The sequence below is a fragment of the Homo sapiens genome, chromosome 3, assembly GCF_000001405.40.
Source record: "Homo sapiens chromosome 3, GRCh38.p14 Primary Assembly".
NCBI lineage: Eukaryota > Metazoa > Chordata > Mammalia > Primates > Hominidae > Homo > Homo sapiens.
Genome location: NC_000003.12, coordinates 131,890,275 through 131,916,681, shown reverse-complemented (window position 1 = coordinate 131,916,681; position 26,407 = coordinate 131,890,275). Strand labels below are relative to the sequence as shown.

The following is a 26,407-nucleotide window of genomic DNA, read 5'->3' as shown; positions in this document are numbered from 1 at the left end:
ATCATTACACATATTTCTACTGGGCAATGCTGAACTAGAGATTGTGCTCTTTATCCTGAAAAGGTATTTCTTTTTATACTTTGTTATCTGTTCAACCCCCTCTTCTTTCCCAAAACACACCATGTTGTCCTCTGCCAACTAAGCAAAAGCATGTCAATTAAAAAAGTACATGAAGCAATTCTTAAAGGAGACAGAGTGGAAGCAGAACAAGACCCATAAGTAGATCAGTTATCATGCTTTCTCAAGTAAACTGGCTTCTGGCTTCATATGTTGTCTGTCGTTTCTCCCTTTGAACATAAGAATAATCCTGCTCTGTTTTTTTTTTTTTTTTTTTCTAACTGGAAACACAAAATCCACGTTGTGAGCCCCCCAGCTTCCTGTTAACGTGACCCTAGTGGAAGAATCCAAACTATGATTTTATTAAGAAGGTAAAATAACTGAACAAAAGAAGACTAAGATTTGATCTTTCTACTTGGTAAATTTAGTTGCCTGAGAAACAAGAGTAAATTATTTCAGTGCCAAAATAATAAAACATTATTTAAGTTTGCTTTTTCTCTCTCGTTCAGGAACTATAGTTGCCTTTGGTATGCCGGGAAAAGGAGGGGCTGTGACAGGAAGAAGATAGTCATTTATACGATTTCTCTTGCGATTTAGTTCAAATTTAACTCTTAAAACTTTCTGTCAGCATTTAAAATTATTCGGTTACACTTATACATTAAATTCTTCTCCTGAAGATGGGAAACATTTGAGTGCTATAAAGTTAATATAAATGTGATGCAATAAACATAGTTACTTTCTGGAGAAATCTCATCTTTATGAATCATTGTTAGAGTCAAAATTGTAAGGCCAGAATTCCTAAGAACATCAATGTATCTGATTCCATATGCACATTTCCCCAAGAAGTTGTTTTTCAGGAAATGAGATTTCTGCTAGATTTTTTCTTTTGGTCTCTCCGTTGTCTCAAATTATAAAGTTCAGGAAATGATTGAAGTAATTATTTATTGCATCTGAGAGATTTGGTATGGTATGTTCCAGAAAAACATTCATGTATGCATATTGTCCATTTTGAATGCATATGACAATTGTCATATTGTTAATTCATGTACTCATATTGTTGTATTATTCATGAAAACCATGGCCTTTTGTGTTTCATGTGGTTTGTATCTGTGTTTGCTGGGTGTTGTAGCTCCACCATCTATAACTCCTCAAATGCTCAGTGTTTGAAATAATCAGAGGAGGGACCTTAAGTTCTTAGACCCTCAACTTGTTGATGAAGCTACCATTACATATAGAGTGACTTGAGCAGCCTTGGGAATAAAGGAAGTAAAGTGAATTTTTAAGCACTGCCAGAGCACAATCTCAATACATACACTACACCTTAGAGATTTATTGGGATTGGAATAGGGTTGAAGTTTGCCTTGGCATGGTCTAAAAAGAAAGTAATTGTTAAGCAAATTACAAATCATCTTATAAGAATTGGTCAAAAACACAGGCTTCAGAGGCCACTAGACCCAGGTTTAATTCCTGGCTGTGTCACTTACTATGACATTGGGATAAGTTATTTAACCACCACATCCATAAAATGAGGCTGACAATACTGATCTCAAGAAGTTGTCTCAAGGAATAAATAAAACAGTGTGTTTTATTACTGTAGTTAATATTAGTAGCTAGGAAAGCAAGTTTTTATTTTATTTTATTTTATTTTGAGACAGAATTTCACTCTTGTTGCCTAGGCTGGAGTGCAGTGGCGCAATCTCGGCTCACTGCAAACTCCGCCTCCTGGGTTCAAGCGATTCTCCTGCCTCAGCCCCCTGAGTAGCTGGGATTACAGGCATGCACCACCACACCCAGCTAATTTTGTATTTTTAGTAGAGACAGAGTTTTTCCATGTTGGTCAGGCTGGTCTCGAACTCCCAACCTCAGGTGATCCACCCACCTTGGCCTCCCACAGTGCTGGGATTACAGGTGTGAGCCACCGTGCCCACCCGAAAGCAAGTTATTTTTAAACGAATTATAGAACATTATATGTTTGATGAGGACAAAAATATAAATATATACAGCTTTTCTCCTTTTCCCAACCTCTTGGGAAGTCAGTGTTTGTACTGCCAAAATGGGAGCAGAGGGGCCCTGAGCAGGGTGTGTAATGATTAAAGTCCTGAGAGGAAAGAAACCCAGAGGGCAGATTAATTTACAAAATAAAGGACTCTCTGTGAAATGTGGGGGAAGAAAGAATCTAAAATCTAAAGGACTTAGAGAGAAGGGGAGGAGACAGAGAGGGGGAGGGACAGCCACCAGGTGACATTCAGGGAAGCTAGATGGGCCAAGAAAATTTTGGAAGATGTTCTGTGGTGTAAATCCCCACCTGTCACTTTTTTGAGAGTCTTGTTAAGCAGCTAACCTATAAGGAGGCAGAACAGCAAAGTGGTTAAGGGCATAAGTTCTGTATTTGGAGGTCCTGGGTTCAAATCCTTGCTTTACCACTTTGTGGCTGGACAGCTATGTGCAGTTGTTGTACCTTTCTAGGATGCAATTTCTTGCCTATGAAATGGAAATGGGTGTCCTAATAGGTCCTACAAAAGGATTATCCCAAGGATCCAGTGAAGGATTATCCTGAGGATCTGATGACCTATTGTTAAATGCTGGGAAGATATATAAGAATTAAAAGAATGTTCTATGAACCTAGTGGTCCAATTAAAAAACAACAGCAATGATCACAGTAATTTGCATTTATTGAGTGCTCATTATGGCCCAGATACTCCTCTGAAGACTTTTATGTGGATTAATTCACTTAATTCTGAACACAACTCTACAAAGTAGGAACTATTATTATCCCCATTTTAAAGATGGTAAAACAGATATAGAGAATTCAAGTAACTTACTCAAGGTCACACAACAAGTAAATAGTGTTAATGGTAGTGAATCCATGTGAGTTTGCAATTCTTGCCCCCTCAGAAGAAAGAATTCGACCAAGGAGGCATAAGGCAGAAGGAGAGACCAAGGCAAGGTTTAGAGCAGAAGTGAAAGTTTATTAAAAAGCTTTAGAGCAGGAACAAAAGGAAAGAACATATACTTGGTAGAGGGCCAAGCAGGCAACTTGATAGACAAGTGCACAGTTTGACCTTTTGACTTGGGGTTTTATATATTAACACTCTTCTGGGGTCTTGCGTCCCTTCTTCCCTGATTCTTCCCTCAGAGTGGGTTGTCCACATGCACAGTGGCCTGCTAGCACTTGGGAGGGGAGCACGAGCAGTGTGTTTACTGGAGTTGTATGCATGCTCATTTGAGGCATTCTTTCCTTACCAGTGGAATGCCCCCGATGGTTATATACCAGTTAAATGGTACCATTTTGGCTCTTAATATGCATGCTCGAGCCTACTGGCCCAACTGCTGAAATCTTATCCAAAAGCTGCTGATCACCAGTTTCAGGTGTTTTTATCTATGGAGACTGCCTTTCCCTGGCACTGGCTGTGACTAATTATTATTTTAGAGAGACAGTGTGACAACTGCCTGACCATCACCTGATGGTCGCCTGACATTCCTGATGGAGTGGGGGGAGCCCTCTCTTACACTTCTCATGCCTGACTAGCTACCTACTTTAACAGTAGTAGAGCTGTGATTCAAACTCAAATGCTTCAATACTAGATCTGTACTCTTATCCCCTGTGTTATCTTGCATCTCATATACGAGTGTCTGTTCCTAAGATAAGTAATATCTGGGGGAAGTTTGCCTTGTTTTATAGATGCTTGGTTTGTACTCAGCAACCTTGTTACTCAAGGTGTAGTCCGCAGGCTAGCAGGATCAACAACATCTGGGAGCAGAATCTCAGGCCCTACTCCACACTCTTGAAACAGAAACTACATTTTAACCTGCTTCCCAGGTGATTTGTGATGATGGTGAAGTCTGAGATGCACTGCTCCAGAGTATGAAACTTCAGGCAGGTGGACTATCTCATTTATGCCTCCATCTCTTACAGTGTCCAGCACAGTGCTTGCCACCTATGGGTAAGTTCAAGACAGATCTCCTCTTGATCTAAGGAATGTTGCCTAGGAAATGGATTGACAAGTCTGAGTGGAATAACACCTTGTTAATCTCTGGTTGAGCGAGTGGATGTTCAGTGCCTCCAGCATTCAGCACATCAGGCACATAGCAGATCCCTTATACACGTTTCTTGAATTGTGATGGAAATGTTGTGAGATAGAGACATCCAGCACCCTAGCCTTCCCTGGATGTACTATGACATTTTAAAAGGCTGAATAATGCCAAGGCAAGCAGAAGAGTGATTATGCACTTATTCTTGACACAGTCTTAAGACAAGCTCTGCTCAGTTGGTTCCCCTGTGAACTCAAGCTGATTCTCTTCCCTCTTGAGTTCTCTATTGTCTTTGTGTTGTTTGCAACTCATTCAGAAACTAATTAAGTTTCAGGATCAGTTTTTCCTGTTAGAGAATGTGAATATGCTGAAGTGGTAGTTTTTAATAACTTAAATTATCTCAGTGAAAGGACAATTATAATTTGTTTCTAAAATTGGCCAAAAGTCAGCTTTTATCAAAATAATTCTCAGCAGACATTAGTCTCCCCAAGGTATTGTGTGAAAGGCAACAAAGAGGATTTAAATCAGCCATGGAGAATGTGTTGATAATCGGGCTATATTAATCCTGTTCTCTAGCAGTGTGTGAAATTACTTGTTTACTCCGCTTCTCTGGGCCTAGAGGTAGCTGATCACTCGTTGACAGAGCCATATTTTGTGATCACCTTTCAGCAGTGAGCTTCAGCTGGACCAAAGCCAAACAATTTGATTTCACTGTCCTGTGTACCACCTCCAAAGTCAAGGTCAGGCACAAGAACTCATGAACTCCAGTATATTTTGTCAGGGCTCTCATTTGTGCAGGCACCAGGAGGTAAGCTGTGGACCCTGAGTATAATTGTGAAAAGTTGGGAATTTTGTCTTTAGTATCTCCATATTGCTTTCCTGTACCCTATCCCTCTAGAAATGAAGGTTTATGTTGGCTTCATCACCAGACCAGAAATATTACCAAGATGAGCACTACTGGGGATCCAGTAAAGTATAAGAAGTAGTCCCTGATCTAAAGGAGTTTACACACACACACACACACACACACACACACACACACACACACAACTTGGAGTGCCTCTTGAATCTGTTTGTATTATTAATAATTATTGGTTGCTAGATAATATTACCACAAATTTAGCAGCTTAAAACAGCACACATTTATTATCTCACTGTTTCTGTAGGTCAGAAATACTGTTGCAGGTTATTTGGAATCACTGTCTCCAAGTATCACAAGTCTGCAATCGAGGTGTCAGTCAGGGCTGCTGTCACATCTGAGGTTCAACTGGAGAATGATCTACTTCCAAGCTCACATGGTTGTTGGCAGAATTCATTCCTTTCAGCGTGTTGGACTGAGAGTCTCAGTTTCTGGCTGCCTATTGGATGAATGTTACCCTCAGTTCCTTGCCTCCCAACATGGCCACTTCATTAAAGCCAACAAGGGAGAGAGTCTCTTATCAAGATGGTGTCATTATCTGAGGTGTCATAAAGGCAGAGATGACATTCTATTACTTTTGCCATATTTTATTGGTTAAAAGCAAGTCACAGGTCTCACCCATACTCAAGGTGAGGGTGGTATACGGGGCATGAATACCAGGAGATGGCCATCTTAGCCTCTGTCTGCCACACCACTCCTAATTTTTAATTCCAGCTGTACTGTTCTAGTTTAGCTCTTTTCCAGACAGAAAACAGAATCATCTCTATTGATTCAAGAGATTTTAATGAAAAGAACATTTACGGTTTTGTGGTCAAAGTTAAAGGAATTCATACGGAGGTTCCTAGAGACCAGCCACTGTGGTAAAATAGACCCAATGATATTCTGCCTACATGCCCTTTATCCAGTAAGTGCATCCCTCCCTCAAGGACTTCCAAGTGTTGACTGATAATGGCTCATGGCTGCCTCTTTTCTTGGGAATGCCTGATTGCTTTCAGCCAAGGGGAGGAAGCAGCAAATCTAAGAGTTCATGCCCCCTCATCCCTAGCATGACTTTCTCACATGGAGTTAAATAGGCTGAACCTCTTTCCTTAAGGGTACAATTCATGTCCCAGAGCCCCCATGGAATCAGATTGAAGCTGTACTCCAGCTGAGACCACTTCTTTGCTTCCTGCACTTTTCTTCTCTCCTCTCCTCTGAGGTAAGGAAATCAAGTGCATCTGAATCCCTGTTTCAGGCTTTGCTTCTAGGATGCCCACCTTAAGACTGGCAGGAAAACATTACAACCCATAAGCCTGAAGGGGTAAGGAGAGGAAACAGTGTTGTTACTAAGGCCAGTGATATCTGAAGGCTTGCAGATAGAGCTATGGTCATTTGCATGGCTACTGCTAAAGATCAGGGTAGGAGTTCGGAAGAAATATGCTGTTCTCTTTCTCCCCCCTTCCCCAGAACTGCATCCCTTTAGTGAAACCCAACATAACACTTGCCAACAGTGTGCTGGCAGTCAATGGAGGTAAGCCTTTTAGGGCCCTGAGCAGAGGGAAGAAAGTAGAATCAATGGGAAAAGGAGGAATAGAAGTGAGCAGCAAAACAGCCTCATATGATCACAAATGTTTTTTCTCTCCTGCAGTCCAACCATCATATTAGTACTAGACTGATCTTTATCAAATATTTATTTGATTATGCCCATTTCCCAGCTTCAAATCCTCTGTTTCCCGTTGCTTAAAGAAGTGATCCATAAAATTTCTGAATCATTTATTCCATGATTTAAAAAACTCTAAACATGTGCCTCCAGTTTATATGTTTATTCTTTTATAAATTACTTAAATTTACTATCATTAACTAATAATTCAGAGCAAGAACTACATACACTTGATATAGAATATCCTATCAGTGATTGCATGTATCAATCCATATTTCAAGAAGCCTTGATAATTTTTAATTATCTTGGGCAACTATTGACACATGTATAAGATTGCCACTATTATAAGCAAGTATGATGGCCAACGAGAACCTCAGACTAGGAGAAAAATGTGTCACCTCTGCTATTTCGTGGTGTTTGGTTGCCTACATTATTTTTTTTTACATTCAATAAGATTTCTTTGCAGTAATCCATTGGAGAGGTAGGGATAGTTAAAACTAAATATCATCATCTGAAATTCATTTAACCAGGCCCATGTGAACCAAAACTGTTGTAACAACCTGGAAATGAATAAATGAGGGAGGATGAGACAATTGACCCCTCTGCATTGTGGAAATCCTGTCATTCCCATCAGATGCCTTGTGAATTGCACATAACATGTGACTATCTTTTATATGGACCAAGAGAGGGCTTTTATTGAGTATAGGATTCCCATAGAGCCAGCTGATGCTTTGGAAAGAACACTGATTGAAGAATAAATTGTCTATCCCAGGAAGTTAATAAAGCAGCTTCACAATATTAGAAGAGCTGTCACCATTGTTTTACTGTCTGACTTGTGAACCTGTGAGAGTTATTGGCTCATGTGTATGAATCCACAGATAAACTGATTTAAAAGATGAGTGTGTGCTCTTAGATGGAGGGTAGTATGCTCAGATTGTACAGGTTGTAAATACAGAAGACATTTAAATGGGCTTATAGAAGTTTGGTCTTAATAGTGAGACATCTAAGAGTTTTTCAGTTGGTAGTGAAAGCATGAATGATTTTATCTGGAGATAAGTCAGAGCACAATAACAATAGCTACCACTATCAGAGCATCCACAATATACCTGGTATTGTGGTAATCACATTACATATATTATTTAATCTGCTCTTTACAGCACCTCTTCAAGATAGATATTACCATCTGAGACGTTAAATACCCTGCCCAAGGATACATGGTCAGTGAATGGAGGAGTCAGGATTTGAATCGGGAATTATGTGTCTCCTTGACAGAGTCTTTTTGCATTATACCTCACAATCAAGACTGATATTAGAGATGTCCCATTCTATCGTAGCTTGCATAGTATTTTATGTACAATATGTATGTAAAAATACAATATGTATTTCCTAACACATATTAAAACAGTGGATTTGGAAGAGATGGACTTGGCATGAGCCTATAAGGATAGGGAAAGTTAGAAGGACAGTGATGGCTCTTGGAGATAGGAGAGGCCAGTGAAAGCTGCAGAAGAGGAGTGTAGATTCCAAGGAGCCAGTTAATGCATTGGGAAAAGCGGAATTCAGGAAGATATTGATTGAAGAATAAGCTGTTCTTATCAGTTGATAAAGAGAGTTTGTAACACACTTACAAACCTGTCTGAACACAAAGCCATCTTTCCACCAGCTGATTCTTTTTCTCCCTTTGCTTTGTTGTAAATTTCATTTTCTGTATACTCTGTCACCTATGTTGCTGTAGTGACTGATCTGCTCACAACTTGTAAAAATAGAAGGAAAATGGTTTATGAAGCTATAGACTTATAATCTGTGCATTTTCTGTATTTGAATAGAATTTATTTACAAGTAGAAGGGATGTATGACTCTGTACGGAGGTTGAAATAAATCAAGGATATTTGTTGTATCCACTGTTCCTTGGTACATTTGAACAGTTCTCCAGCTAAAGGTTTTACCTGTGGTAAAAATAGCTTTGGGCTGGCTGATAGAAAACTGGTACTCCAGCCCCAGCTCTGCCATTAGAATAATTGCATAATATGGGCAAGCTGCCAATCCTCTCTGAGCTTGAATTTTTTCATCTGTAAAAAACAAATGTCCCAAAGTCCCTATTAATGTTCACTTTGGTAGAAGATAGAGCAGTTCTCATCCTAAAACTAATTTCCCAACACATATTAAAACCAGAATTGCAACTCTCCAAAACTACAAATTTCCCTAACCTAAGGGAACTGAGGTTCCTTTTACCTAAGGGAACTGAGGTTGGTAAACATTTTCTGAAGAGGGCCACATAATAAATATTTTAGGCTTTGTGGTACTTGCAATCTCTATTGCAACTACTCAGTTCTGCCATTGTAGTGAAAGCAACCGCAGATAAATACATAAATATATAAATGAATAAGCATGCCTGTGTTCCAATAAAACGCTATTGGTGTGCAGGAGTGAGTGTGTGTGCTTGTGTGTGAAATACATAAATACATAAATGAATAAGCATGCCTGTGTTCCAATAAAATGCTATTGGTGTGATTGAGTGTGTGTGTGTGTGTGTCTGTGTGATGCGTAATGCTGAGGCATAGCCATCATCCTGTAAAAGAGGTGGCATGCTGTACTCAGTTAAACCTGGTGTAGTGCTGGTACCAAGGGGAAGCTCACTAAATATTTGTGGAAGAAGGGAAGGAGAGAGAGAGGAATTATTCCCATTTTATAGATGAAGAAATTCCACTGCAGAGCACCAGTGCCATGTGAGGTTGAGGAAGCCATTGTCATTTTCCCTAATGAATCTACAAAGAAACAGAATTCCATAAGCAAGGTATTGAATTTTGCTCCTAAGAGAATCTTATACGTTCAGTCGTCTTCAGAGAAGGAGAGCACTGATGGCCTCTGGTGGATCACTGGGGCTCTGGGATGCAAAGTGTTATTATAAAGGATATCACATGGAGAGCATTTCTTCATGTGTTTTTTGGCTGCATAAATGTCTTCTTTTGAGAAGTGTCTGTTCAGGTCCTTCCCCCCCTTTTTGATGGGGTTGTTTGTTTTTTTCTTGTAAATTTGTTTGAGTTCATTGTAGATCAAAACCACAATGAGATACCATCTCACACCAGTTAGAATGGCAATCATTAAAAAGTCAGGAAACAACAGGTGCTGGAGAGGATGTGGAGAAATAGGAACACTTTTACACTGTTGGTGGGACTGTAAACTAGTTCAACCATTGTGGAAGTCAGTGTGGCGATTCCTCAGGGATCTAGAACTGGAAATACCATTTGACCCAGCCATCCCATTACTGGGTATATACCCAAAGGACTATAAATCATGCTGCTATAAAGACACATGCACACGTATGTTTATTGCGGCACTATTCACGATAGCAAAGACTTGGAAACAACCCAAATGTCCAACAATGATAGACTGGATTAAGAAAATGTGGCACATACACACCATGGAATACTATGCAGCCATAAAAAATGATGAGTTCATGTCCTTTGTAGGGACATGGATGAAGCTGGAAACCATCATTCTCAGTAAACTATCGCAAGAACAAAAAACCAAACACCGCGTGTTCTCACTCAGGTGGGAACTGAACAATGAGAACACATGGACACAGGAAGGGCAACATCATACTCTGGGGACTGTTGTGGGGTGGGGGGAGGGGGGGAGGGATAGCATTAGGAGATATACCTAATGCTAAATGATGAGTTAATGGGTGCAGCACAGCGGCATGGCACATGTATACATATGTAACTAACCTGCACATTGTGCCCATGTACCCTAAAACTTAAAGTATAATAATAATAAAACAAAAAAACAAAAACAAAATAAAACAAAACAAAACAACAACAACAAAAAAAAACAAAAAATAAAATAAAGGATATCACATGGAAATGGGCAGGGGGCCTGCAGTGCTTAAATGTAGCTGCTGTTTCCACAAGTTCAGAATAGGAAGCTTTGTGCTTTTCCTCCCCATCACTTTCCCCCTTTTGATTCTGAATTCTGATATGGCAGGTGGGAGTGGGAAAGGGAAAGGTGAGAATGGGCTAGTGCATTTGGGCACAGGGATTCAGATGCTGGGCCTCTGTCTTGGAGCTGGCTTGCTGAGAGCATTTTGAGAAGAGGGCAAAGTTTTAGGGGTGGGAAATATGGCTGTTTCTTCAGAAAGAACAATATACTTCTCCATGCCATCACATAGGAGTTGAGTTGGATTTTTAGTCTTGAAAACTTGAGATGTGATTAAATTGATGAACCAACAAATCTGTACAATTTCACACAAGCCATACACTTATTGAAGAGCTGGATTACAGTTTGCAGCCTATTGAACTAATTCATTAATTTTATTTCACAGGCTAAAAATTTTACTATGCAAATGTATGCAAATCATACAAGAAAGTAGTGTTCTTAACCAAGTGCAGCAGCACCTGTTTTTTGTTTGTTTGTTTCCTTTGATTTGTTTCACTGGAACTGTGTCACTGGGTTGGAAAGTGAGATAAATACCTTCAATGTTTGAAACTGTGTGTCAAACAATTTTCTGAAGGGTGATTGGGAGGCTTTCTCCTTTGACAAATATTGCAGTGATTGGCACTTCTTTTTTATTCTTTTACTTGCCTAAAACAGAATGAAGAAGATGAGCAACATTTATGAGTCCGCTGCCAACACACTGGGAATCTTTAACAGCCCCTGCCTGACCAAAGTTGAGCTGCGTGTGGCGTGCAAAGGCATTTCTGACAGAGATGCCCTTTCCAAACCAGACCCCTGTGTCATCCTCAAGATGCAGTCTCATGGGCAGTGGTTTGAGGTAGGCATGTCCAATGAAATGGACAGAACCATGGCTGGATGATTGGCTCAAAAATGTTTTGATATTTTATATCTTCAGGTGGTTTATTTTGATGAAATAAGAAATTTGAGAAGTGAATATGATCACATTTCTATCATGATGTTTTGATGTTGCTGTTTTGATGTTGTGGATATTTTGACATTTACCCTTAATTCATGAGCCTAAGACTTTTTAGGTGTTTTTGTTAATTACCAAGAAATACTCACAATATACTCTTCATCCCATGCCTACTCATTGGCAACACACAGGTAGCAAGAGGACCAGGAACAGACGTGAACCCAGACCCCAGACTGGGCCGGGGTGAGAAAGTTCCAAAAACTGGTTCCAGAGACAAAGTCTTGTGGCCAAGGCAGAGTTCAGATTAGACTTAATAAGAATTTTGGGAATGGTAGCTTTGAGGAAACAGGTTTTAGGGGGTTGAGAGAGAAGTGACTACTCAGATGGAATGAGCTCAGTAGATGACAGTCCTATCCATAGGTCCCGAATTGAAAGAGGGAACCAAGAGGACAGGTATGAGCAAGTCAGTCCCATGAAATCTCTGTCTGCAGTAGAGGGGCAAACTCCACTTTTGGGAGCTGGGCTGGGCTACTTACTATCCAGGGTAACTGGCCAGAACTGAGGAGTAGGGACAAAGACTGAAGTCCAGTTCTCTGACCAAGCCCAAAACAGGGTGACTGTTGGACAGAGCTGACCCAGGACAAATCGTAGATCTATAGAGAAACATAAACTCTTGTTGTGGACCCAAGAGAGCCACGTGGGAACCCAACAACGATAATTAAACCCAGTCTTCAGGACTGAAGAAGTGACTCGTTCTAAGCCGCATGGGTTTATGGGGCTGAGTGGGATGGTTACCTCAGTCTGAGTTGGTTGAGGACTGGAGAAAGATGAATCCTGCATGTGGAAATCATGAGTAGATTCAGAAGTAAGGAGATGGGGATGGCAGAAATAGGAGGAACGGGCTGGGGGCCTACAAGCTCATAAGGCCAGCATGCAGTTTTAACCAGCTTTGGAAGGTAGCAAAACCACATTCAGACATCCCCCAAGACTCATGTGTAAAATATCCACTTGGAATGTTTCCTAACACACACTGTTTGCTGTGCTTGTGCAAGGCAGCTGCTCCTTTGGCAGTGGTGTGAATGGAATGACATTTCTGTGAGTCATTCTTCAAAGAGCGATGGGCCCCCACGTTGTTAAGAGATGACTTGGGTTTTTACAAAAAGTTTATTCTGGGAAGGATTTATTCATTTTTGTGCCTGCTAGACTCTAACTGATCACGGACCCAGTGGAGAGAAGCTCTAGGAAAAACAGTGGGGTTCTTTGTATCAACTGTGCTACACTTGGCGAGATGTTTCTCTGACTAATGGTGGTACCTGGGGAAGAACAAGGGGACACATCATGAAATATTTATTTTTTGGAGCAAGAACTTGAAACAATATGACCTAAACTTTACTGGGTACTTTTTAAGTGCCAGGCACTAGTCTGGCACTAAATTACCAGTTTAGTTCTTTCAAAAATTCTATGAGATATTATCCCCATTTTACAGGCAAGGAAATGGAAAGACAAAAAGATTAAGGATTTTCCCAAGAGCAGTCAGCTTGTAAGTGGAAAAGCTAATATTTAAACCCATACATTGGAGCTCCAGAAACTGAGATCTTTATTGCTATTTTATAATTGTGCTGGACACTGGTATCAGTCTTTGGTGGTTTGTGTGGCAATATTTTAGGTTGAATTCCGCAGCTAGGTTTTTTTTGTTTATTTAAAAATCCAAACAAATTGGATAAGGACTGATTTTAAGTTTGTCTGTTTTTTTTTTCCTTTTTTGCATCTAGGTACCTAGTCTAAGTAAGCCTTGTTTTTAAAGATCTAGCTGATGTGAATGGAGAAATAGGGAGGAGAAGAGGATGTAGCAGAGGAAGCAGTTCTTATTCTAAGAAAATAAAGTACTCAGAATAAGGGATTTGAAGCCATGCTGATCAGAGCACAAATAGACCTGTTTTGGATCCCTTGGACCAAATTCTTTAAGCCTTCAATACTATGCTCACCTGTTTATAAGCAGCCGGAAGGTGTCCCTCTAAGAGACAGTCTTCCACTCTATAGGAGAAAGAAGGTTCAAAAGACCCGAGAGTCAGCATGTTTAATTGTATGTAGATATGTGATATCAGCCACTTCTCTGAAAGAAAGGCTTGATAGCAGTTAGTGAGCAGGTGAAATTTAGGTGAGGAGTCAACATACACAGAAAATGAATGCTGATAGGCAGATTGGGGAATCTTAATTTAACTTCAGGCCTATCGAAGGCTTAGAATGTAAATATAAAACAGTATTCATGGGTGTCTTAATACATAGTATCTTTTTTTTCCCTTCTAAATATTCTCATTGACTTTGTTAGTCTCATTATTTTTTATTTAACAAAACTAAATGGAATGCCTACATTATAAAAAAGTAACTCCTTGGAAATTACAGGCAAGAAATCCATCTACTTCTAACCCGTTAACATAATTCAACTATTATTTGTACATATTTATTTTAGTCTTTTTCTTCTGGCATGCATATTCTCATATGATTATTATCATGCTTGTAAAATTTTCTTTCCTAATTTTATTGCTTAGTAGTATGTGCTTTTCCTCACATTGCTACAATATTGATCATTGTAATTTCAAAGCTGCATAATATCCCATCAACTGGATTTAAATTCATCAATTTTTTCACTTTGAAATTCCTTCCAGATATACCCTATTTTAAGTAATACTGCAATAAACATCTTTGTGCTTGAGGATTTTCCCTTCTTTTTGGATGAGTTCCTACAATAGATTCTGTTAAGTAGAACTGGTGGGACAAATAATAGGAAGCTTTTGAGGCTTTTGATACATATTGTCAAATAATTTTTCCAAAGCGTCCTATTAAACTATAGCACACAGCTACCACAAACTTTGCCACCCGTGCACAGTGATAAGAACCTTGTGCCACAGTGTAAATTGATTCACGGCTTCCTTTACCTAGAAAGTCTCACTCTATAACCATTAATATCAGCTTAATTGCTAGCATGCTTAATCATATGGTTCATTGATATTGTGGTACTTCTAGAAGCAGTTTAGCAAATTTTGCTCTCTTAACAATATACAGTAAGGATATAATAATAATAATAATAATAAAACCAAAGTGCATGCCAGGTGGCTAAGAGAAATAATTAGATAATTAGTAACAAAGAAGCTGCAAATACTGAAAACCTAAATAGGGGCTGTGAAGAAACCCAGGGATGAACAACAGGAACTCTGCTTAGGGCTGGAGCAGTCATGTGTTGGAGTCAGCTTATATAGTCTCCTGAGAGCACACTGTTAAATATTCAGGAATTTTGCAAGTCAGGGAGTATTTACACCACAGACACTGGCAAATGTTTCAAATTAAGGGTTCTCTCCTTTCCCCAACCCTCTAAGGGAGCCAGCACTCCTCTGGGTGACAGGGACAAAAGGAGAAGATGGTAGTCCCAGAACCAAACAGCTGGGCCATCCAGCAGAAGCTGGATCATGGTCGGAGGACTCTTCTAGGCAACATTTCCAGCCCTGCCTGCAACTCCTCTATTTCTCCTACTCCTACCAGATGGGTCCTCCAACCTGCCTCAGCCTCCCAAAGTGCTGGAATTACAGGTGTGAGCCATCATGCCTGGCCGGAAATATTTTCATTAGGTGAAAACTTACAGTAAATCTTTAATAATGGCCATGATTTTTATTGACAGAAAAGAGGGAAGAAAAAAAACTTGACTTTGAAATACATTACAAACTGAGAGTTTCATTTCATACCCTTTCATTTTCCTAATTTAGGATCATATCCTTTAAAAAAATCCCTCTTCATCAACTCCTGGCTATGTAATGATGGCAATATATGGTGACAGTTAAGTGTAATGATAATTTAGAATGCTTTCCATCTTCCATCGAGGAGTGGAAATAATATCTTCCTGCTTTCTGGTGAGTCCTGATGTGTTCACTAGCTCCTGGAACTAAGCATCATAATCAAGTGGTACAAACAAACACTTCTTAGACAGTCAGAAGGCAAGGACTCTTATGAACTAAAGACTTATATTCAGTTCACTGGAGCATATGCTCTATTCCTGGGCATGCCTGGGTAGAATCAAGCTCGTGAGTGTGTGGCCCTTGGCAGTGACCCTATGATTGGAGGAGTACTTGTTCTCATTGGGAACACCCAAATTATACTCCAAACTTCTAGGTGGTTGCTTCAATCACCATTAATTCAATTTTTTCATTGAATTTTAATACACAATCATTGAGATCTTTCTTGGAAGCTCTAAGTAATTCTGAAAACTACCTACCTTTGGATCAATTCCATATGGAAGCATGTTATGATGAACCATGGGCTTTGGTGAGTTGTTGGTAATTATTGTTAGTGACGATTTGTGCGGTTATATGTAACACATCAATTATCAGTGGACTCTACTACAAGATTATTGTTTGTAGTAATAATATATCCATATAGTGTTTTATATTCACAATATCCATCCACTTATGTTATTTCCTGCTGATAATAGCTCTGTGAAAAAGCAACACAGCTATTTAACCCCAGCATGTATTGAGCACTATGGCTTGTGTCCTCAAAGACCTCAGTGTCCAGTAATCTCACCCTATCTTAGAGACAGAGAGCTGGGGTCTCAGACAGTCGTGTGACCTTGAGAAAGAGGACACTACATGAAATCTTGACTTAAATCTTTTTCTTTCCCTGAATGTGTGGTAGGAAGACCATCTCAAGGGTGCCTAGGTTACCTTTATGTGGAGGGGGCCTAAAATAAATCATGCCATAGTGGTGGTTGTACTAATTTACATCCCCACCAACAGTGTACAAGGGTTCCCTTTTCTCCACATACTCACCACCATTTGTTATTGCCTGTCTTTGGATACAAGCCATTTTAACTGGAATGAAATGATATCTCATTGTAGTTTTGATTTGCATTTTTCTGATGATCAGTGATGTTGAGCACCTTTTCATATGCCTGTTTGCCATTTGTATGTCTTCTTCTGAGAAGTATCTATTCATATCTTTCACCTATTTTTTGATGAGATTATTAGATTTTTTTTCCTGTAGAGTTGTTTAAACTCCTTATAATTCTGGTGATTAATTCCGATCCCTCCACTGTTTTTCATTTTCTCTTCCCCCTCCCCACTCCACCTACCCAGATGTAGGGTTTGGTCACCATATGACCTAGCATCCCTGTTAGCAGCACAGAAGGGATAATGTGTGCCCATGTTGTTGAGCTTGCCCAGAGAAGTGGGCTGTGGAATTTTCTTGGCTAGAGGGCTTGTGGAAGAAGTCAACAAAACAGGTTTCTCTCATGCTTGGGATAATAGTGGGCCAGCACCCTTTCATGTATTAAACCATGAGGATAAAACTCAAAATAACAATTTTACCTATACCTAAGATATTCAATTTTCCATTGCTCCAAAGCCTAGAACTTTTATGAAAATGGGACAAGCAATATTAACATTTATGTGATGAATTAAAGTAGCCATCAATCTGTGTTGATGCCAGTTATGTATTAGTTAATTTACGTATATTCTATCCTCACAATTACTCTGCAATAAAAGCTTTACTAACTAGAAAAGATAGCTAAGGCTTGAGAATTAATACATCGCCCAGGGTCATACAATTAGTAAACAGTAAAGCTGGAATCTGGTTGCTTCCAAAGCCCATGTTATTTCTGCTTTTTCAAAGGTTGCAAACTTGAATCTGGTGGCCTTTCTGTTGTCTGCAGACATATTTTGTCTGGTTTTCACAGTGTTCTAACAAGCTTTGTAGTAATTGCCGTAACTCAAAGATCATGAGATTTTTCATAAAACTCCAGATTTCTGGTTTCTTCCAAGCAACCAGAAAATCTGGCAATGTGGGGTCTTTAATCCTATGGCAACAATGAGCTGGTGATAATTAGCATCTTCCCTCCTTAACAAAATACGAGGTTCGTGCTTGTGCCTCCTGCTAGCCAGCCTGCTTCACTCACTTGCCCTACAAAAGTGGCCCCTGGAGGCGTTTGAGTTTAGACTACACTCCCACACTCACTTGACTAGGTCCCTGAACACTGTTAACTTCCCAGTTGTGGACATAGACGAGAGCTAGAAAATGAAAATTAAGTCAATTAAAACATTCCCTCTGGATATCACAGACAAGCTTCTTTCTCAAAAGATTTTCTGTTCACACTTTGTTGACTTGCAAGGTTTGGATGGGTAACACCCAGCATGACAGATGATAAAAAAACGACAGTTTTCTTCACTTGTTCACAAAGTTTGCACTGTGATTTTGCATCAGACTCCCATTTGGGAAAACTTTGATGTTGCTTTATACCTCCCCCTTAACACATCCTTAATAAGAATAATTTTTTAAAAAAACAAAAAAGAAAAAGAAAGCTGATCTTGGTGATATTAGAAATCTTACCCTGAGTATTGAATATAAAAGAAAACAAAATCAAATATTACAGCCAGATAATATTTTCTCCTTGTTGCCTGGGGTCATGTGCCTGTGACCAGAGGCTGATGGTTCCATGATGTTCAACTTTTAAGTGATGCACTTAGATACAGGAAAATAAGATTACTGGATTGCATATGTGACTAATTGGATTCCTTATAAGTAAAATCTCAACATTTTCAGTGTCATAATGTCTGAGAACAGAATTACACAAGAAGGGAAATTCAGGTTACAGATGAGCAAAAAGTATTTGAATTGAAATCTGTGTTGCCTCTTAATTAATTCTTTTGTATGCCCTGAAGATAATTTCATCAGCCAGAGGAATAACATCTGGCTTCCTGCACAGAGTAAAACATGACATTAGCCTTACTCCCATCCTTAGGCTGAAGAACTGGCAAGCCACATTCTGGGCATTCAAGTGGAGCATTGGTCCCCAGCAGTTTTTATAGTGTACCTTGAGACCCATGCTGGTCATTTGAAAGATGGAATTACAGATTGGAGAAAGAGTTTGAGAGGGCATGTACAATTAGGAGTCTTCTGCCTCTAGATTGAATCACCTTCAACATTTCAAAGGAGGTATTTTTGACACTTTTCCTGAGTGCCTATTTGCATGTTTAACTAGACTCACTATTGATAATTATCTCCTTAAAAGTCATATTTCCTTTGTAATTTCAATCTATTTTATCTCTTTATTAATGACAATGATGATTTATTTATAATACCTTAAATATATTGAGAGTACTTAAACAATGTATCAGGTACTCTCCTAAGCACTTTATATATATTGTCATATTTAATTATCAAAACTATCTTGCAAATTGGGCTCATCTATATTTTATTTTATTTTTTCCATCCTCTTTTTTTTTCTTTAAGAGACAGAGTCTCTCTCTCTGTTGCCCAGGTTGGAGTGCAGTGGTGCAATCATAGCTCACTGCAGTCTCAAATTCCTGGGATCAAAGAATCTTCCTACCTCAACCTCCCAACTAGCTAGGACTATAGGCACATGCCACCACACCTGGCTAATTTTATTTTTCATAGAGATGGGATCTTGATATATTGCTTAGCTGGTCTCAAACTCCTGGCCTTGAGCAATCCTCCTGCCTTGGCCTCCCAAAGTGCTGGGATTACAGGTGTGAGCCACTGTGTCCAGCCTATTTTTTTCTATTTTTATTGAGGTATAGTAGACAAAAAAAATTGTATATAGTGTAGAGGCACAGAGGTGTTAAGTAACTTGCCCCAGGTCACACAAGTGGTAAGTGAAGGAGCAATGACAAATTGAACCCAGACTGTCTGACTTCAAAACTGTCCTCCTGCTATCCTTCACTGTCTTCCTCTCAGAATAATGAGTACCAGACTGTTTGCTATGCACCATATGCTAAGTCATTACATGCATATTCATATAATCCTCATGACAGTATTATAAGATAGGGACTGTGATAACCCACTCTACAGGTGAGAAAACTGACATTCACATAGGAAATGTATATGTTCAGGTCACGAGACTAGTGAGAAGTGGGATTAGGATTTGAACTCAGATCTTTGTGTCTCCAATACCCATGTTGTCTTCATGACACTGCACCTCTCTCATCCAGTTCTCTGTGGAGGCAGAATAACCCAACGAATTACCACTAGTCTATAAAATTAATGTTTTTCTCTCCTTTGGTTCTAGGCATCCAAATTATTCCTTTCATCAATGTCCTCATCTAAAACCATGTGTTTCATGTTAATCTGGAGTACGTGGTATTGATATTCCTGCCCGTTAGGAATCTGCCTTCTTTTGTATCCAGCATTTACTTCTATTAAGCCTGTCTTTAAACCAAACTCTTAATCATTCCCAAAATTAAACACTCATTTTTCTGGCCATGGATTTTAGAGCAAGTATTCCTGAGCATTTTGTAGAGAAAAATTATGCTTAATGTCTAAGATCATAAGGTAAATAAAGGTCATGGTGCTGATGGTCCCTGATCTCAGGATGGTGAAATAAGGTAAGGCATCCATGCCTCTTAAAATGTGGCACCAGGAGGTATCAAGTACAATGGAGGATTTCATCAAGGGAGAAGATAGTGGAGCAATGACATCAGGGACCTGCACTCTTCACTTCTGTTAATACCTTCTATAACTCCATTAAGAATGGTCATGTGGTTTGTGATCAATTAAAACTCAGATACTTTCTGTGCAAACTGTGCCAAGACAAGATTTTGCTATTTGATACTTGTGCAATTATTTTTTTTACTCTTTACATACATATTTTCCCTATTAGAGTTCACCTTTGTGGTTTGTAGGGGATGTACATTGTTTGCACTTCAATTTCTCATCTTTTGTGTTACTTAAATCTCCCAGGTTTGTGCTATTAGTTTGGTTTCATTTAATAGTATTGGTTTAAAGAATATCTGTTAAACATAGGATTTGTGTTTGTTGTGATGCTATGATAGTAATCGGAGTGAAGCCCATACAATAGCTACAGTTTGTATGCTGCCCTTTTTATCATTTCATAATAAAGAATATATGTGTATATATATGTATATTATCAAAATTAGTCATAAACCTCATTTTAAATGATTGTATAATATTTCACATACAAAATCTACCACAGTTGGTTGAACCAGCTTTCCATTATTGGATATGAATTTTCAAAGCTTTGCTATTATGAATAATTACAGGATAAATTTCTTATATATAAGGGACATCTGGCCCCAATCACCCTGTATTTGAGATTTTTTTTTTTCCTAGAAGTAAAATTATCATGATAAAGAGTAGGAACATTCTTAAAGTGATCCGCCCACCTTGGCCTCCACTGGGATTATAGGCGTGATCCCCTGGCCGGGGATTAGATAAGTTTTTTAGCCATTGAAATTCCTGGAAGGAGGATTGAAGTTTTTCATTGTTTATTTGAACCTTGGGACACAAACAGTTCTCAGCTTCTCCAATCTGATTCACCAAATGTTAGCTTGAATTTCAAGGTTTCCAAATTGTGTCCTGAGGTAGCCTAATTACTTCAGAGGTACTGCAATTATTTGTTTGAAATATAAATACAATTTCTTCCTTTTTATCAACTTTAGTGAGATGATTTACATATAAAATATATCAAAATGCATTCATTTTAGATGTTCAGCTTGATGAGGTTTTTCTTTTCAAATGGATTAACTTGTAGTTTAGTTTGTTAGTATAAATTTTCATATTCAGTTTATGAAAAACAAAAAAAATAAAATTAACTCAGGATCAAGATGAAAAATTAATGTAAAATTATTTTGTAGAATGGTTATTTTTAAGAAATTACTTTTAATTGACACATTGTAACTGTATATATTGATGGGGGACAATTTCATGTTTTATATAATTATCCAGTCAGAGTAGTATATGCTTCATCTCATGCATTTATCATTTATTTTGTGGTTAGAATTTTCAAAAGCCTCTCCTCTAGTTATTTTGTAAAAAACAGCATTTTACTGTTAACCATTTTCACTCTACTGTGCATTAAAACACCAGAAGGTATTCCTTCTAACTGCAACTTTGTACCCATTGACCAACATCTCATCCACTCCTCTCTCCTCCCCTTCTCAGCCTCTGGTATCCACTGTTCTACTCTCTGCTTCTATGATACCAACTTTCTTAAAAAAAGATTCTACATATAAGTAAGATTAGACAGTGTCTTTCTGTGCCTGGCTTATTTCACTTAATATGAAGTTCTCCAGGTTCATCCATGTTGATGCAAATAACAAGATTTCACTCCTTTCTATGGCTAGATAGTATTCTGTTGTGCAAATATATCACACTATCTTATCCATTCATTCGTTGTTGGACATTTAGGTTGACTGAATATCTTGGCTATTATAAATAATACTGCAGTAAACATGGGAGTGCAGATATCTCTTCAACATACTGATTTCATTTTCTTTGGATATATGCTTGGTAGTGGGATTGCTGGATAATATAATAGTTCTATTTTTAATTTTTTGAGAAACTTCATACTATTTTTCATAGTGGCTGTACTAGTTTACAGTCCCTCCAATAGCGTGTAAGTGCTGCCTCTTCTTTACATCCTTGCCAACACTTATTTTCCTTTGTCTTCTTGATAATAGCCATTTTAACTGGGTGAGGTATCTCATTGTGGTTTTCATTTACATTTTCCTGATAATTAGTAATATTGAACATTTTAAAAATTTGCTGGTTCATCATATGTATGTCTTCTTTTGAGAAATGTCTATTTAAGTCTTTGTTCATTTTTAAATCACGTTATTTTTTTTAATGTTAAGTTCCTTATATATTCTGAATGAATATTAACCCTTTGTTAGGTGTCTGGTTTGCAAATATTTTACCCCATTCTGTAAGTTGTCTCTTTACTCTGTTAAAAGTTTCCTTTGCTGTGCAAAAGCTTTTTAGTTTGGTGTAATCCCATTTGTATATATTTGCTTTTTTCTCTTGTGCTTTTGAGGTCAATTTTCTGGACTAGTTTGAGGAGAATTGGTATTAATTCTTCTTAAATGTTTGGTAGGATTCAGCAGTAAGGCCATCAGGTCCTGAGCTTTTCTTTGATAAATGTCTTTTTATTACTCACTCAATTTTTTCACTTGTTATTGGTCTGTTCAGATTTTCTGTTTCTTCATAATTTAATCTAGGTAGGTTGTATGTGTCCAGGAATTTATGTATTTCTTCTATGTTATCAAATTTGTTGTCGTGTGGTTGTTAATAACAGTTTAGACTATCTAAAGGTTTTGTCAATTTTATCTTTTTAAAAAAGTGACTTCATTTCACTGATCTTTTGAATCTTTTTTTTGTAGTCTATATATTGTTTATTTCTGCTCTGAGCTTTATTATTTCTTTTCTTCTATCAATTTTGCCTTTAGTTTGTTCTTGTTTCTCTAAGTTTCTTGAGGTGCACTATTAGGTTGTTTATCGGAAATCTTTCTTCCTTTTTGATGTTTCTTACCATAAATGACCCTTTTAGAACTGATTTTGCTGCATTCCACAGGTTTTGGTATGATGCATTTCCATTTTTTTATGTATCCCAATAAAAATTTTAATTTCCTTTTTAATTTCTTCATTGACCCATTGGTTGTTTAAGAGCGTGCTGTTTAATTTCCATGTATTTGTACAGTTTCTGAAGCTTTTCTTGTTGGTTTCTAGTTTTATAACATTGTGATCAGAAAGGATACTTGATGTGATCTTTATATGCTTAAGGCTTGTTTTATGGCCTAACATGTGATATATCCTGGAGAACATTCCATGTGAATTTGAGAATAAAGTGTATTCTTCAGCTATTGGATGAAATGTTCTGCAAATGTCTGTTAGGTCCATTTGGTCTATTGTGCAGTAGAAGTCTGATATTTATCTGTCAAATTGTTTGTCTCGATGACCTGTACATTATTGAAAGTTGGGTGTTGAAGCCTCCTACGATTACTGTATTGCTGACTACCTCTCCTTTTAGGTCTAATAATATTTACTTTATATATCTGGGTGCTCTGGCATTGAGTGCCTATATATTTACAATTGTTATATTCTTTGTTGAATTGATTCCTTTATTATAACGCTCTTCTTTGTCTCTTTTTACAGTTTTCTACTTAAAGTCTACTTTATCTGATATAAGTATGGCTACACACTTTTTGTCTCTGTCTGCATGGAATATCTTTTTTCATCCCTTCATTTTTAGTCTATGTTTGCCTTTAAAAATGAGGTGAGTCTCTTATAGGCAGCATGTAGCTGGGTCTTGTTTTTTGTCTTTTAACCTATTCAGCCACTCTATACATTTTAAGTGGAGAATTTAATCTATTTATATTCAAGGTTGTTAATAATGGATAAAGGGTTACTTCCACTATTTTTAGTTGTTTTCTGATTTTTTTAAAATTCTTTCTTCCTTCCTTTCTCTGTCATTGTTTCATCTGGTTTGTTGGTTTTCTGTGGTGCTAAGCTATATTTCCATTCTCTTTCTCATTTGTTTATCTGCTGTAATTTCTTTCTTTGTAGTTACCATGGGGCTAATACAAAGAGTCTTGTAGTTAAAATAGACGATTTTAAGCTGATCACAACTTAAGTTTGGTTGCCTAAAGATACTCTAGACTTTTTTCTCTGCCCTCCATTTATATTTTTGTTGCCTTAATTTACCTTTAAAAAAATCCATTATGTGTTCCTTAGTCACTAAATGTAGCTTTTGTTGTTTTTGACTATTTTGACTTTAAACCTTTATAGTAGAGGATTAAGAGATTTATATAGCACCATTATATCACTGGGGTATTCTGAGTTTAATTTATAAATTGACCTCTGCTGGTGAGTTTTATACTTGCATGTGTTTTCATGATAGTACTTATTGTTCTTTTATTTCTAGCTGTAGCATGCCCTTAAGCATTTCTTGTAAGGCTGGTCTACTGGTGATGAATTCCCTCAACATTTGCTTGTCTGGAAAGGTCTGTATTTCCCCTTCATTTCTGAAGAATAGCATTTCTGGGTCTGGTTTCAAGGTGGCACCGAGCTGTAGCAGCTTAGATCATGAGGGTAAGAGGTAGTTAAGCTGGCTTCCACATTGGTGGCAATGCAGCTATGCAAATATTGGATACTCTGCAAACTGAATTTGGGAACTGTGAGGATTCAGAATCTCTCCTATAGCAAGGATTTTTATAGGGGCAGTGGGGACTGTTTGGGGATCTCCAGCTTACCTTTTTTCTTGTAAGATGGAGTCCCGTGAACTCTGAGCTAATCTTGGCAGGAGAGACAGTGTGGCAGAGGTGAGACTCTTTGCCTCCCTCTCTACGGTCCTATCCTGGGCTTTCATACTCCACAGAGATTTTTTGCCATTCCCATGGTGCCCTTCAGTGTACTTCTTCAGTTATTCTAGTTGAAAAGTAGTTGTTTATTGGTTGTTTTTGTCTCTTTTTGTGGAGGTGAGATGAGCACCAGGTAATTCTAGTCAGCCATCAGTCTTGCTTAAGCCATGTAATCAAATGCCCATTGATGATAGACTGGATAAAGAAAATGTGGTACATATACACTATGAAATACGATGCAGCCATAAAAAGAATAAGGTTATGTCCTTTGCAGAAGCGTGGATAAAGCTGGAGACTATTATCCTTAGCAGACTAACACCAGAACAGGAAACCAAATACCACCTGTTCTCACTTACAGGTGGGAGCTAAATAATGAGAACACATGTACACATAGCAGGGAACAACATACACTGGGGGCTATTGGAGGGTGAAAGGTGGGAGGAGGGAGAGGATAAGGAAAAATAACTAATGGGTACTAGGCTTAATACCTGGGTGATGAAATAATCCATACAACAAATCCCTATGACACAAGTTTACCTGTGTAACAAACCTGCATGTGTACCCCTGAACTCAAAAGTTTAAAAAAAAAACTCGTAGCTTGATGAGTTTTGATTAATGTATACACCTGTGCAACCACTATCCCAATTATAGAATATTTTCTAAAATATATTTTAATATTTAAAATATGTAACAGAAAACAACCCACATACCTAAATTTTATTTCTCTCCAGCTTTATTCAGGTGTAATTGTTATAAAAAAAACTTCATAAAATTAATGTATACAATTTGGCAAGTTTGGATATGTGTGGGCACTCATACTGGTATCACCACAATCCAGATAAAAAATATATATATATCCATCATCTTCAGAAGTTTCCTTGTGTCTCTTTGGGTTTTTGTTTGTTTGTTTTTCTGCTAAGAACCCTTAACATGAGATCTGTCCTCTTAATAAATATTTAAGTACACAATACCTTATTATTAACTATAGGCACTATGTGGTACAGCACATCTCTGGGAATTACTGTAATTTTGCAATTATTAAACAACAACTTCCTGTATGCCCCCTCCTCATCCCTGGGTATCCATCATTCTTTTGTCAACTTCTGTATTTCTGATTATTTTAGATGTCTCTTATAAGAGGAATCATGCAGTGTTTGTCCTGTGACTGGCTTATTTCACTTAGCATCATATCTTTCTGTTCCATAATGTCTTCCAGATGCAAATAATAGATGTTTCTTATTTTTCAATGCTAGGTAATATTTCATTGTATGTTTATACAACACTTTCTTTGCTTATTCATCTGTTGATAAACATTTGGATTGTTTCCATATTTTGGCTATTGTGAATAATGTTGCAATGAACATGAGAATACAGGTATTTCTTCAAGAGCCTGATTTCAGTTCTTTTGAATATATACCCCCAAAGTGGGATTGATTAATAAGATGTAGTTTTCTTTTTAATTTTTTGAGGAACCGCCATACTGTTTTCCATAATGGCTGCAGCGTTTTATATTCCCACCAACAGTGTATAAGGGTTCTAATTTCTCCACAATCTCACTAATGGTAGGTTTTTTTTTTCTAAAAAAAAAATAATAATGCCTATGCTTACAGGAGTGAGGTGATATCTCATTGTGATTTTAATTTTTATTTCCTTGCTGATGAGTGATGTTAAGCACGTTTTTATATACCTGTTGGCCATTTTTATGTCTTCTTTGGAGAAAAGCCTATTCAGGTCCT

At 37.9% G+C, this 26,407-nt stretch overlaps 1 protein-coding gene across 8 annotated transcripts in view, besides 1 other annotated feature; it reads left to right on the top strand.

Moving 5' to 3' along the window:
• The window catches only part of CPNE4 (copine 4), a 506,038-nt gene that overhangs the window by 122,925 nt on the left and 356,706 nt on the right, over positions 1 to 26,407 (top strand). For 5 of the 8 annotated variants that reach the window (NM_153429.2, NM_001289112.2, NM_130808.3 and 2 more), the window contains one exon: positions 11,238 to 11,418. The exons of 2 other annotated variants lie outside the window; for them this stretch is intronic. In NM_153429.2, the coding sequence (NP_702907.1) occupies positions 11,238 to 11,418 (181 nt within the window). Of the gene's footprint in view, positions 1 to 1,509; positions 1,516 to 11,237; positions 11,419 to 26,407 lie in introns of all 8 variants that reach the window. One more of the 8 variants, XM_024453339.2, reaches the window with a different exon arrangement.
• Positions 1,966 to 2,490: an enhancer, noted in NCBI's record as "NANOG hESC enhancer chr3:131633036-131633560 (GRCh37/hg19 assembly coordinates)". NCBI's record gives its function as "activates a minimal SCP1, AML or CMV promoter by ChIP-STARR-seq in naive H9 embryonic stem cells {active_cell/tissue: H9 hESC(naive)}" and the evidence as "EXISTENCE:reporter gene assay evidence [ECO:0000049][PMID:30033119]".